Consider the following 15,227-nt stretch of genomic DNA (forward strand, 5'->3'; position numbering starts at 1 on the left):
AGCACTATTTAGTGACACACATTCTCAAATTCAGTATTTCAAAGGCAGTATTCTCTTTACAATTGAAAATACAGTGTGAAACATAAATATTTTTAAACTGCTTAATTTTAAGATCATTCACTTGTGAAAACCACTAAGTATTCAATAGAATCACTTTTAAAAAGCTCAAAGAAAAGGACAACTTGAAAGAGAAGCAACTGCCAGCCTGTTCCTTTTTGGGGACACTGCCAAAGAACAAGACCTCTATTGGGCACATTTTCTAGAATCCAACACTTAAATAGTACCCCAACCGGCACGCCCCAATCAAAAAAAAAATTACAGACAATAAGCTACTCTCCTAACTGATACTACTTCCTCATTTCAATCATGTCTGACAATTAAATAAATACCTCCAGATGAAGAAGTTTCCACTGCACATACTTTCTTTGGTCATCAGCCCCCACCCTTAAAATGAATTATTGCTAGTTATAATTGCTTACAATGTTAAATTCTAGTTTACCAAAATATTGGTCCCTTTCTTTTAATTCTGTTAATGTTAAGACAAACCAAGATTTGCTTTATGTTGTACTGACCTAACAAATCTAAAGATAAGTTTAATAAAATATTACATCTACCTAAACAGCTCCCATAGCTTCTACTAACTTCCTAGTTAAATACTTACAAATACATGGAAATAAGAAGAAAACTCACAATAGACAACTTATCATCAGAATCTGGAAGGAATCTCTATTAAACTTAAGGCAGATGGAGCAAGACTGAAAAATCCAATGCAGAATATGCCTCGTGATCTGTATCTTGTGGTTTAGGGGCTTTTCTTTTTTTTTTTTTTTTTTTGCATTTTACATTTTGGATTCCACAGCTAAAATAAGTGTCACACTAAATAAAAAATAAAGAAAACAATAAAGAAGTACAAAAATAGAAAGCATAAAAACCCAAACACATCAATTGTAAGAATTTTAAACAGGTTAAACTCCTCTATTAAAAGACAAATGATCAAACAACAAAATCCAACCTCTTATTTATGAAAAAAAAAGCAAACATACATCAAGCAAATTCAAACCAATATAAAAACAGAATTCAAGGCAAAAGATGCTGAATGAGATAAATGTGATAATTTTATACTATTAAAGAGATATGCAAAAGGAAAATGGAAAACTTACAAAATTCTGTGTGCCAAGTAACATTGTATTAAAATAGAAAAAAAAAGTTTTTAAATGAAGGCTTGACAGAAACACAACATAATTGAAAGACTATTAAGTATTTTTAAGTCTTAGGTAGATAGAGAAGACAAAAAATAAACAAGGATATAGAAAGTTGAATAGATGTATAATATTAAATATGAAACAATATATTTTTGGGGGACAGAGTCTCACTATGTCACCCAGGCTGGAGTGCAATAGCACAGTCTCAGCTCACTGCAACCTCCACCTCCCGAGTTCAAGCTATTCCCCTGCCTCAGCCTCCTGAGCAGCTGGGATTACAGGTGTGTGCCACCAAGCCTGGTTAATTTTTTGTATTTTTAGTAGAGATGGGGTTTCACCATGTTGGTCAGGCTGGTCTCGAACTCCTGACCTTGTGATCTACCCACCTCAGCCTCCCAAAGTGCTGGGATTACAGGCATAAGCCACCATGCCCAGCCAAATATGAAATAATAAGAAATCTCTCTCTATATATATTGGTCTCTACCCCCCAGTTCCTGGCTCAGAGCTCCTAAAACCCTTGTCATTTCCCAAGCAATGGAGGTGCCAGAAACATCTTTTGTTCTAATATTTGGTCTTTGACCCCACTCCCTGACAAAGAGCTTCTAAATCTCTTAGAACTTCCTGGTGATAGAAACAACTTCTATTCTAATGAGGCAGCTCTTGGTGTACTCTTTGATGGGGATTGGTCACCAAAAAGACCAAGTCATGATAAGAAGCTTGGAACTTTCAGCCCCAAACTCCATCCTCAAGGGAAAGGAAAGGAGATGTAAACTGAGTTAATAATCATATCGATGTGATGAAGCCTCCATAAAAATCTCCAAAACACGGGATTCAGAGAGCTTCCAAGTGATGAATGCATCCACATGCCAGAAGGGTGGGGCACTCCAACTCCATGGGGAAAAAAGCTCCTGTACCCAGGACCCTTCTGGACCTACCTGTTCATCGGGCTGTTCATCTGAATCCTTAAATCTATCCTTTATAATGAACTGTGAATCGTAATTCAGTGTTTCCCTGAGTCCTGTGAGCTGCCATAGCAAATTATCAAAGTGAGGAGGGTTATGGGACCCCCTGTTTGTAACCAAGTCAGAGAGAAGTATGGTAACCTGGGGACCCACTACTTTTGACTGGCATCTGTAGTGAGGGGCAGTCGTGGGAGACTGAGTCCTTAATCCTTGAGGTCTGCACTAACTCCAGGTAGTTTGTATCATAACTGAATTGTAGGAAGGACACCCAGTTGGTGTCTGGAGAGTAGAAGAACTGGAATGTGTGGAGAAAATAATCCCCACACATTTGGGCACAGAAGTGTGGGAAGTGGTGTGAGTAGTAGGAAGAAAAACAGGTTTTTTTTTTTTCTCCTCACTAAACAATGTATGTTACATTATGTTGCCTAAAAAGAATGAATATTATTTTCCAAGTGCCCATGAGCACAAAACTGACCAGATATTAAGCCACAAAAAATTACTGCAAATCATAAATTCCACATCAGTGAACAAAATGGATTAAAATTTGAAAGAATGAGAAAAGTCTTCACAAAAATAATACAACCAACTAAAATGTAAACTCTTGCCTAAATAATTCTAATCTAAAGGATACCACATTACATACAAGTAATATAAAAAATAACAAGGAGATCTTAATATTAAAATTTGAAAGGGAAATACAGAAGTTGTAATCAAGAGAAAATTTGAAACTTAAATACTTTGATCAACAGACAAAAATAAATTTAGGTAAACATACCAGAAGTTAGAAAAAGAAAAAAAAATCAGCCTGCAGAGAGGTAAAGAGAGAAATTAATAAGTATAAAAAATTCCAATAGAAATAATGAATAAACCAGCTTTTTAAAATTATAAAACAACAAAATAAGTTTTAAGTACCAAAAAATTGGAAAAAACTAATCCAGAGAATAAGCAAATATACATATTGCAGATAGCACACAAATTTCTGCTACTGAATTTTTAAAATCTAAATGTCACTGACATAAAAATATATAATACAAATTATCAAGACTCCCTCAACAAAAAATAAAAAACTAGTCTAGACTGAGTTATAGAAAACTCTGAAAAAGTCCAAAAGCACCCCCTCTCACCCAATTAAAGGGTACAGAATCAGACAGTTTTAGAGGCACATTTTTTGCAAATTTCATTAAAACATATGTTATTTAAACTGCTCCAGAACATAGGGTGCAAAAATAAAAGCCTTTACATTTAAGTGTTCAAAGTAAGATCAGCCTCCTTCCAAAACTAGACAAAGATAGTTCTCGAAAAAGAAACTGACTTGTCTAACTTATGATGTAAAACCTTTAAACAAAATTTTAACAAATCAAAAATAGCTGTATCATAAAAGATCAATTCACACAGCCAAGCTGACCTATTCCTAAAATCCAAGGGTGGCTTAATAACATGAATATTATTAACATAATATAACACATCCAAAGGTTATAGACTATATGGTCACATTACATTCATTGATAAATGCAAAAAAATTCTTAAATCTGATTTTTTAAAAAAAGAAATTCTTTATTTTTATTTTTAGAAATAGAAAAATATGTATCTCAAAACAAGGATATGCTTAATGTAAACACTAGCAACATTCCCATTGAAGTTAAAATAAAATACAAGGATGCCCAGTGTACCCCTTTAATTTAAACATTGTTAAAATTCTATTCAAAAACAATGAAAGACACACAATATAGCTATGAATCACAGAAATTCTAGGTATCAAGAAAATCCAAAGTACCAACTCAGAAACTGTAACAACTAATAAAAAGTTCAGCAAGAAGGTTGATTTTCAAGTAAATATATAAAAATCAGTAGCTTTCTTAATAGAAGTAATGTTTGAAAATAGGAGTACTCTTTCACAACAGAAACAAAGGTAAACAGAAATATAAAACAATAAGAAAACTAAAAAACATAGGTGAAGGCATAAAAAAACTTGAATCAACAAAACAAAACATCACGTGCCTTAGTAGTAAGACTGGATATAAAATATTATGCCTCTCCCAAACTATTCCACAAATTTAATCCAATGGAAATTTTTGGTATTTGATAAAATTATTGTGAATCATATTCAGAATAAACTATTCAGAAAAAATAGGTAGAAAAGTCTGTATATCGTATTTGAAAATAACTACAGGATGTTAGACTATATTTTAAAGTCAAAATAAATTAGAAACACAGTGGTACTAGATCAACAAGAAACCCCCAAACATAATTAGTGTGTATGTAGGACCATAGATTATGAGAACTGCAGTGTTTCAAACCAATGGGGACATGTGTCTAAGAGGTCAAAATAATTGAATTCAAATTCAAAAAGTGAGGAATTATAAGCAAGTTATGGTGGCATTTTATCAATCAGGTTCTAATCTGTTTTTACTAACCTGACCATTGTCTGTAACAGCCAAAACAGAGCAACAATGTTTAACGGCTTCTGAACGGTATTTCGTACCTTTCGTTCATTCGTGGCTCAGGTATGCAGTTGTAAATGTGAAATGTCTAACAATTCAATAAATTCATCAACGACACTTTAAAACTCTTTGGAGAACGAATGAATTTAGTTGTAGCTACTTAACCACTAAGAATAGGATTAAGTTAAATCCCAATTCACAGAAAATACCAAAATAAATCCGGATGGATGCTGTTAAATATAAACACCAAAAACATACTATCAAATGCACTTCAAAAAGGCTGAACTAATTTAATACTTCACCAGCACTGTAGTACCCATTTTCCCTAGTCTTCAGCAACATATGTTCATTCTCTTTGAGAAATCCAACTTCTAGGAATTCATGGCAATAATCAGAAACATATATGTAAACAAATAATTAAGGGTATCTACTGCAAGACAGCTTATAATTTTGAAATGTGGAGAAAGACTTAAATCTTCAATCTGTTATCATTCATTTATTGTACCTTACTCAATAGAATATTACACAGACATTACTAATGATGCTGCTGAATAATATTTAATGGGCATGGGGAAAGTTTTTTTACAAATTATTGTACAGTTTTAAAAAAATGTAGTGTTACACATGAGCTTTCATACTATAATCCCAAATCTGTAAAAGAGTAAAACTTAATTTTAAAATTATGTATGTGAATGTGAATAAGTTTAAGAACAGATAACAAAATGTTAAACAATGGTTTTTTTTGGATGCTCCCTTTCTAAAGTTTTTCCTTTAAACTGTTTTTAATTTACTTACTTTCTCACATTAAATATCTACTGTTTTATCATCAGAAAAACATGCACGTGTACCTGGCATACAGATACTTCTATGAATTATAAATACAAATATCTATGTATAATAATGTTTATCTCGGCAATATTTAAAATAGAAAGTAATCAGAAACAACTGTCTTACAAAGAAAGGTTTGGATAAATAAATTACAGTACTTCCACTGGATGTCTCTTAAAACTATGTTTCACAGGAATATTTAATAACCAGAAAAAAATGCTGATAACATAAATTTGATTAAAATACAGAACATGAAATTGCATTGGTTATGAGTCTTCTTTTTTAAAAAATAAATGCATAACTATATGTAAGTAGAAATCATACACTGCATTATAAAAAAGGCTGGTAAGAAGCAACAAATGTGAAAGTGATTATCTCTGGATGATGCATTGTCAATGGTTTTATTTTTTTCTTAACACCATTCTGTTTTCCAAATTCACTACATAGTGAGTTTGGAAAGTGTGATATACATACAAGAATATCCAAAGGAGAAGGGGGAAGAAGGAGAGGAAATTTAAAAATAAAGCAGCCATCTGTCCCACTGCTTTGAATTAGTTTTAATTACAGAATTTTATTCATTTTAAAATTTTAAATGACACTAGAGAAATTATTGTATCTATCACATAAAGGTATAGGTTTTTTTAAGAAACAGAGAAGCATTGCTCCAAAATGTATACTTTTAATTTAAAATGTTATAGTTTTTAATAAAGTTTAAAGTGTTAAGAGTTCTATTTTAAGTGAATATAGTTAGTAAAAATGCAATCTACTTGTAGCACTTCTGAAAATTATATTGACTATTATATCAGGAATAAATATGCCTTTATATTTTACTCGTAAGGTGCACCCACCATACCAATAAAATTAATTTAATTAATTGTTCTTTTCTCCTCTAAAAATATTATGTAGCATCATTACAAGTTAAATAGGGAAATCACTAGGTTTCTTTACTTATTTTAATATACTTTGAATGAGTTTCAATTAAGGTAATTTTTAAAGTTAATTGAAAGTTTAAGGTTAACATATTTCTGAGAAATATCACATTCCATAGTTAGTAGTTTAAAATCACAAAATGTGAAATTGACTGCATCAAGAATATTCCTATCACTATTCACATAAATCAATATACTTGCTGAACTTTTAGTCAAAATATGCATATTTAAAAGAATAAACACTTAAAAATTAGTTACTTAAGCCATTTAAAAATCTTAGAAAAGTGTTTATAACTAAACCAGGTATTATGCTACCTAGTCATCCCACAATTATTGCATTAAATAAATGAATCTGACTAAAGCTTTTTTTCATACATGTGAAGTAATTCTAGAGTATACAATATCTTATCTTCCACATAAATAATGACAATTGGGAACAACCTCTTCAACTGTTGAAAGCTTTAATTTTCAGAAATGTCCCCTTAAATAGCATTATCATATTCATGCTTTTAATAACTTAGAGGATTTAAATGAAATGGATGATACAGCATTTCATGTCTCAGTTGTTAAAAGTTTTTCAATCTTTCCAACAAATGATTGAGACCTTGGAGATTTTGTAACTTGTCACACATATGTTTCTTCTCAAGCCCCAGTGCAAGTTTTCTTGTATGCCAGAAAAAAATTCTTTTCTTTTACACAATAAGATTGCCATTATAACATTAATACTTGAAACTTGATGCTTCAATTTTAAAATGTTGATATTAAGTTCATACAAGTATGTCATTTTCCACAGGCATAATGTTTGACTACTGGGTGTCTTACAAATAATCCTTAGTTTTGTATATATTAAAGTACTAAACACAAAAACATTGAATGAGCCTATATTTTTAAGATTTTTGTGGGTACAACTCAAGAGTTTTTTTTAAAACGGTCTCATGAGACAAATAGTAGGGAAAACCAGTGAAACAAAACACTAGTTCTTCGAAACAGCCCAAAGCTAATAAACCTCTAGAGTTAGACTGACAAAGAAAAAAAGAGAAGAAATTATCATTAGCAGGAATTAATTAGGGACCATCAATACAGACCCTGCAGAAATCAAAAGGATAGTAAGAGAATACCACAAACAACCCTGCACATACATTTAACAACTTAGAAGAAATGGACCAATTCCTAAAAAGCACAAACTACCACAACTCACTCAAGATAAAAGAGGTAATTTGAATAGCCCTAAAACTATTCAAGAAATTAAATTTCTAGCTGGGCGCACTGGCTCACACCTGCAATCCCAGCACTTTGGGAAGCCAAGGTGGGCAGATCACTCGAGGTCAGGAGTGCGAGACCAGCCTGGCCAACATGGTGAAACCCCATCTCTACTAAAAGTACAAAAATTATCCAGGCGTGGTGGCACGCACCTGTAGTGCTTGGGGGTCTGATGCAGGGGAATCACGTGAACCTGAGAGGTGGAGGTTGCAGTGGGCCACAATCACACCACTGCATTCCAACTTGGGTAACAGAGCAAAACTCCATCTCAAAAAAAAAAAAAAAATTACATTTCTAGTTTAAAAGACTATCAAGAAAGGAAATCTCCAGATTCAGATGGTTTCATTACAGAATTCTACCAAAGTTTAAGAATTAACACCAATGCTACACAAGTGCTTCCAGCAAATTAAGAGGAGGGAACACTTCCCAACTCATTTCATGAAGTAATACCATGATACCAAAAGCAGATACAGTACCAAACAAACAAACAAAAAGACAACTATAGACCAATATCCCTCTTTAGTAGAAATGAAAAAATCATTAACAAAATATTAGCAATTTATACACAATGACCAAGTGGGGTTTATTCCACACTTTTTTTTTTTAATAAATAAATCCCACTTGGGATTTGTTTATCCCAAGTGGGGTTTATTCCAAATGAAAAAGGTTCATTCAACATTCAAAAATCAATCAACATAATATACCATATTAACAGGCTAAAGAAGAAAAATTACACAATCAGATGTCGCCATCGGAGTATACATAATAAACCTTTAGTTCCCTTCAATTTGGATGAAATCAACCATTACACTTTAAAGGACTTGCCTATATAAGAGTAACTCTTTTTCACCAACAAAAGCTTGACCTATTTCAAATGTTGCATAATATCTGAATTTTGAGAACTAGAGAAAACAAGACACTGAAACATTTTTTAAAAGTTGACAATTTTTTTAAAAAAACTTCTTTTCCACAGTTAAGATGCCTGCATGCCATTTCAATTGGGAAAGAAAACTGTCTTACCATAATTAAACTGACTGTTGGACTTTTCACAGTTAATGATGTTAAACCTGTAAGCAACACCTGGTCGCATTCCACTGACTTCAAAGTAAAACCACTGATGATAATGATTGCTGTTTATGTCTGAGTTCAGAATAAGATCATATTCATTTCTGAAAATAGAAGACAAAGAAATCTGATGAAAATTAGGAAATATCTGTGCACATACAAAATGAGAAAATCTTAAGTGACTTACTTTCTAATTTGAATTACTTTGCGCAGATTCCCAGACTCAAATTTGGAGTTAAATTTCAAAATATCTCCCTCTTCTGGAATGGTGTAACTAAATAAAAGTTTTAAAGTAAATGTATTAAAATACATTGCATTTAAACAGATGAGCAAAAAGTAAATAAAATTATAATTAAAAATACATCACTACTGCCATATCACCTTCCTCATTATTTTTAAACTAAAGCACAAAACAAGCACAATCAATACATTAAATGTGGATAAGATTTATGGACAAAACTTATAATAAGAGATTTATTCTTATGTTTATACTGATATAGTAAGAACTTTTGCCTCACTGAATGCATGTCATTTCTAAAATACTTATTTTTATACAAAAAAGAACATTTTTAAAACGGCTATGACCTGTACTGAGCAGCAATAATTCTCATAAACGATGCAGTTCTCTGAAGAAAATATTATTTTCAATTTGAAGAGCTAAATTACCTATTATCTTATTTAATTAGCATCAAGAAGCACACGTATTATCATTTTACATATTGATTATTAAATAAGCATTTACCATGTATCTACTAGGTGCCAGATACTGTTTGAGACATATGTCTGCTTGGTTCCCCGACTGAATGCAAACTCTTGCTCTTCTGGAGCCTACTCGCTAATAAGAGAAGACTAGGACTCTAAGATGCTCAATAATTCTGTCCAAAATAGCACTGGTATGCCACACTCAGGGTTCCTGAGTTTCTGTTTCTACCACTTCTGCCTGTCTTATCTGACAAAGAATTATCAATGTTGAAATAATTAAATAAATAAGGTATATGTTTCCTCTTTTTTATAACAGTATTATTTCAAATTTAGTCATTAGCTTTGCTACAGCTTATACTCTTATCTAACAAAACTTTAAAAGAAAAAAAAAAGTGTTTTAGCCAGGCACGGTGGGTCACACTTGTAATCCCGGTACTTTGAGAGGCCGAGGTGGTCAGATGACCTGAGGTCAGGAAGTTCGAGACCATCCTGGCCAACATGGCAAAACTCCGTCTCTACTAAAAATACAGAAAAATTAGCCAGGCGTGGTGGCATGTGTCTGTAGTCCCAGCTACTCAGGAGGCTGAGGCAGGAGAATCACTTAAGCCCAAGAGGCAGAGGTTACAGTGGGCCGAGATTACACCAAAGCACTCCAGCCAGCCTAGGAGACAGAGTGCATGGGACTTCATCTAAAAAAAAAAAAAAAAAAAGGTGTTTTTTTCCTCCACATATGATTGGCAAGATGTGAAATTTTCCAAAAATATTTGTATGTTGAGGGAGAGAAGAAAGCCACTGAGGGCTAATTGAATTTCTCATATGAGAAGGCAGATGACTAAATAATAGTCAAACTCAATATTTGTAATTTTCATTTATTTACTTATATTTAAATCCTAAAATGTGATGATATCAGTGACAATCCTAAATAGTAAATGACTAACACATCAAGGATCACAAAAAAAGGCATTCCAAAGATGGAGCAGGCAACCTAAATGACTGAGCCGATTATAAGCAGTAAGAGACAACAGGGTGTGGTGGGGACTATGGAGAAGGATCAAGCAGATGCTCCTTCGAAAGGGATGGTAATTTGTTATCCTAATGAAATGAAGGCTCAGTATTGCAAGACAAGCCAGCATTTCATATAAAATATCCACTCTCCTAAGTGAAAGTAATTTCAGTTTTTCAAAAATACAACATCATTGTGTAACCTTTACCTCAAGCCCATTAAAAATCTACCTAAAAACAAACAAAATCTCGTGATAGAGTTAAGTAGGTAAACGTGACTTACCATTACCATTACATCCCAAAGGATGAAAACCTAATTAAGTCACAACTAGTTATAAATTAACTATATTTTTATTTATTATTTTAAAAACTACCAACATTTTTCACAGAATTTTTATCTTTTAGAAATAATACTAAAATTTTATAGAAAAACTTAAAACTAATAAAAGTTCATTAAAATCAAGACTTACTTTGGGTTATCCAAGTCATATACCACACGATCTATGATATCACTCTGATGTATTAGCCTTTCAATATCTTGAGCAATTTTTGTCCTGAAATCATAAAGGTTTAACCAAAATATATTATTATACACTAATGTACAACTTTCTCCAAAGTAAATTTTGAATGAAAAAAGTGCATGATAAAAATTTCTTAAAATAAAAATGATTATTCCTCTATCTATATATTTTGCATACAAAAAAACTAGCAATACGTAATAAGACAAAAATCAGTATCAGAATTTGAGTTCTAGAAAATATCCACGTAGAATACAGCCAGCCACAAGTCCAATCATTTAAAAAAAAAAAAAAAACTTGAATGTCTATTATGCCTTTCTACATAGAAATGGTGTGGTTTCGCTATCTAACCCTTGGGCAAATAATTCTGTATACATAATAGCAGCATTACGAGAAGGTATAAAGATGTGAAAAGCCAGAGATTATATAAGAATAATTTTTTTAAACCCACCTGGCTGGAATTTAGCTAAAATGCAATTGGCAGTCAGTCTGCATGTTCGTAGAATCTCTCCTCTCTTTTGTGGTGGGAAAGGAAAGGTAGAGGGAAGGGAAACACCTGTTTGAGGGAGCAGAGGATGATTCCCTGAGCATGCAAAATTCTCTAGACTTAATCTCTCCCTGAATCAGTCCAACAAAATAAAAATTCCTCCAATCCCTACCACTGTCCTAGAAGACTAAGTCACCCATAGAACCCACAATCTTTACCCCATCAATATTTAAGCTAAGGAAGACAATAATCACCAAACTGTGTCAACACAGGTGACACTAAAATATAGCCAAAACAGAACAGATTTGGTTCCTAAAGCCAGACTGCCTGTAACTCCAGGTAGACTGGCCACAAAGTCCTGCTAGTGTTAATACATAGCTACTTCTCATGTAAAATTTATTCTCAAAGAGGAAGGTGATTATATGCACTGATTTAAATTTCAAGTTTGTTCATTTCAGCTAAAGATAAGTAATGCAGATTAGAACTGTGGCTTATAGATTTATTGAGAGCAGGGTGAGAAAGTGTACCAAAATAGTTTATAACAAAATCTCAAGAATCCATTAAACACTGACAGTCTTAAACTTCAGGCAAATCTGAAACTAGTCTCCTGCACGAAGATACTTTTCCATGATAAAAGGATATTAACTCTCACATAGTTTAGAAATATATGTAACAATATCACAGTATAACCTTAAATTTAAAATAAGCCAAGAACCTACCCTAATTGAAAAATTAAAAATTACCAGGAAAATATCAGAAGGTATGATAGTTAAACATATAAACAAAGGATACTAAAAAAAAAGTATAATGCTAAAACTAATCTTAATCTACTAGTTAAACAGTTAAGAATAATTTACTTTTAATTTTATTCTATAAAAAATAACTCATTACTGACATAGTAGTCTATCAGGAAAAAAAGATCTACTATCAAAAAATTAAGCTACACATTCTTGATGTAAGTTTAATGTCATAACTTTAAAATGCCAATTATAAAGAAACAAGCTTTTTTAAAAGCTATCGATTATAGTAACACATAAATAAATTCAGAATTTACATCAACCAGATGGCCAATAGTGAAGGATATGGCACTTTCACATACTCAAAATATACCACATCAAAATTTAAGTGGTCAAGTATGGGTGAATGACTAAATATATCTATTTGTCAGAATAATTTATTTAATTAATAAGGTTGATATATGCCACAAATATGTAAAAATTAATATTCACAAAGGTTTGGTTTTTGTTTTTTTAGCAAAATGTTATGAGAAGCTAGTTTTAACAGCTCAGTTCCACAGTGATGTTCCATAACGCAAAACAGGGTCAAAGAGCTCGGGCCCGACAGGGGCCAGCAGGTATGAGAACTGAGTGAGGCTGACGGGCAGGAACTGTGAAAAACTGAGGACACAGCTTCTGTCTAAAAACGAGCTGACTGCTGCTAGGCAGGAAACAGAGGTAAAGGTTGTTGACAACCTTCAAGAAACACCAGAAACTTGGACTTGTTTGGGAGATGCGGAATCTCCCAAATTTTAAAGGCTGGCAATTGGTTTAAAAAAAAAAATGCCACTCTGCAAGTTAAGCCAAATCATGTGCAAGTTGAAAATGGCCTATATACCTGTTTGTATACCTCTAACACTGTATTCTGGGGGACATAATTGCCCATTTATATTAGACTAGATCTAAAATACTTGAGGGGAATCTTTGCCCTGCCCTAAGCTCTCTTTAATAAAGAGGAGAGGCAGGGCATGGTGGCTCGTGCCTGTAATCTCAGCACTCTGGGAGGCCGAGGCAGGAGGATCACGATGTGGTCAGGAGTTCGAGACCAGCCTGGCCAACATGGTGAAACCCCATCTCTACTAAAAAATACAAAAATTAGCTGGGTGTGGTGGCGGGTGCCTGTAATCCCAGCTACTCAAGAGGCTGAGGCAGGAGAATTGCTTGAACCTGAAAGGCAGAGGTTGCAGTGAGCTGAGATTGTGCCACTGCACTCCAGCCTGGGCGACAGAGCGAGACTCTGTCTCAAAAAAAAAAAAAAAGGAGGGAAACAGTCTTTTATTCAGACATGTATTTGTGTTAAGCAGATCAACTTTTATAGAAGAATGACAACTCTTCCTTCCTTTACCCCAGCCACCTATTGAAATACATGGCTTTCCAGTCAAAACAAATAGTCTAGGTACTCTCAGGGACTATAACCTCAAACTTACTGCCATTCAACATTTATGAAAGACTTGGCATGGAAAGGAATAATTTATGCAGGACTGTCTAGAAAATATATAGCCTATTCAGTCCATACTCAAAAACACATGTGATATGTGGCCACCAGCAAAATTGTACTTTGTTAGGTTTTCAACCACAGGGCAACACTATAAGAAATCATTTAGTAAATCTCATTGCTATATTTATTGTAAGAACATTATGGGAAATGTTCATCACATTAACAGTATGCTCTGAGGTTCCATATTATCTGTATCTGCTAGAAAGAAGATTCAAGATCATCTTCTTTACAGAGAGTATAACATATATATGTGATCAGTACATATATACGATCAACAGGATAGGCTCATGATATAGACCAGGGTTTGACTCTTGGCTCTGCCATTTACCAGTAGTGTAACTCAACAACCCTGAGCTTCAACCTACTCTTCTGTAAAATAAGAAAAATAATAGCACCTTCCTCATAGAGGTGCTATAGTATTAAATGGCACACTTTATATGCATATATACACTGCATATAAAATGCTTGTTACTGAATTGTGTGTCTGGCCCACAAAATGCCTAAAATGTCTTTAATAAAAGCTATCTGCTGCTTTTATTCCTACCAATACTTCCACTATTGCCTCAATTCCAGAAGTACCTGTGTTTTCCAAGCCATTCTAAACTTCATATAAGAAATCCAGAGTTTTGTTTTCTTTATTTTGCCTTTGCCACAATTCTTTATCTACTTTTTAATTTAAAATTTCTGAAAAGGTAATATGCTGGCATTACACAAAATCAAGTATGATATAAAAGCAAAAAATGAAAAGTCTCACTTATTAACACAACCTGTATCTTCCATCCACATAATCAAGGAACTACTTTTATTACTTTTCTTCCAGATTTTACTTGATGAAAACATAAATGTAGACTGCTTTTCCCTCCTTCTGATACGAAGTCTAAAACGTCATAAAACAAGCACCTTGTTTATTTCATTTTATAATACATCTTACACCTCTATCAGGGTATAGACAGCTTTTTGTTTTTTCAACCACTGCACATTATTCATAAAAAGGTTACACCATAATTTAACTAGTCCTTGACAAATAGGCACTTGAGTTGTATCCAATCTCAAAACAATACTGCAATGAAAAACTTTGAATGCCACTTCACACGTATGCAAACTATGTGTGCACACAGACATGTGAGATTTGTGAAATAAACATATCTCACAAATTCCCAGATGTGGGACTGACATGTCAAAGGAAACATGCACATTAATCTTGATAGAATCTGTCTGATCACCCTCTACCAGTGGTATTCTCAACTGACATTCCCTCAATTGAGATTCTCTCATACATGAATTCTTTCAATTAATGTATGAGAGAGGCTGTTTTTCCATAACCTCATCAATAGAATGTTATGCTCAATTAGATTTTAGCCAATCTGATATGTGGAAAATGATATCTCAGTACATCTTAACTTACATTTCTCTCATTTGGAGTTAAGTTAACCATGCTTTTGTGGTTGTCACCGTTTCCTTTCCCTTATTTTTCATTTTATTTTCATAAGCGTATTTTTTAAAAATATCTTGAATGTTTTTTAAAACAGGCATCACATATTATATAAAAGTGTAATT

The 15,227-nt window shown here is 33.0% G+C and overlaps 1 protein-coding gene across 25 annotated transcripts in view; it reads right to left on the reverse strand.

Annotated features, from left to right (window-relative positions):
- AGTPBP1 (ATP/GTP binding carboxypeptidase 1) overlaps nucleotides 1-15,227 on the reverse strand; it is a 258,945-nt gene that overhangs the window by 63,802 nt on the left and 179,916 nt on the right. For 24 of the 25 annotated variants that reach the window (XM_047423094.1, XM_047423090.1, XM_047423089.1 and 21 more), the window contains 3 exons: nucleotides 10,862-10,945; nucleotides 8,875-8,961; nucleotides 8,643-8,791 (listed from right to left, as the gene is read on the reverse strand). In XM_047423094.1, the coding sequence (XP_047279050.1) occupies nucleotides 8,643-8,791; nucleotides 8,875-8,961; nucleotides 10,862-10,945 (320 nt within the window). Of the gene's footprint in view, nucleotides 1-8,642; nucleotides 8,792-8,874; nucleotides 8,962-10,861; nucleotides 10,946-11,360; nucleotides 11,466-15,227 lie in introns of those variants that run through there. The other variant, XM_011518421.3, reaches the window with a different exon arrangement.

This window comes from Homo sapiens, chromosome 9 (assembly GCF_000001405.40).
Source record: "Homo sapiens chromosome 9, GRCh38.p14 Primary Assembly".
NCBI lineage: Eukaryota > Metazoa > Chordata > Mammalia > Primates > Hominidae > Homo > Homo sapiens.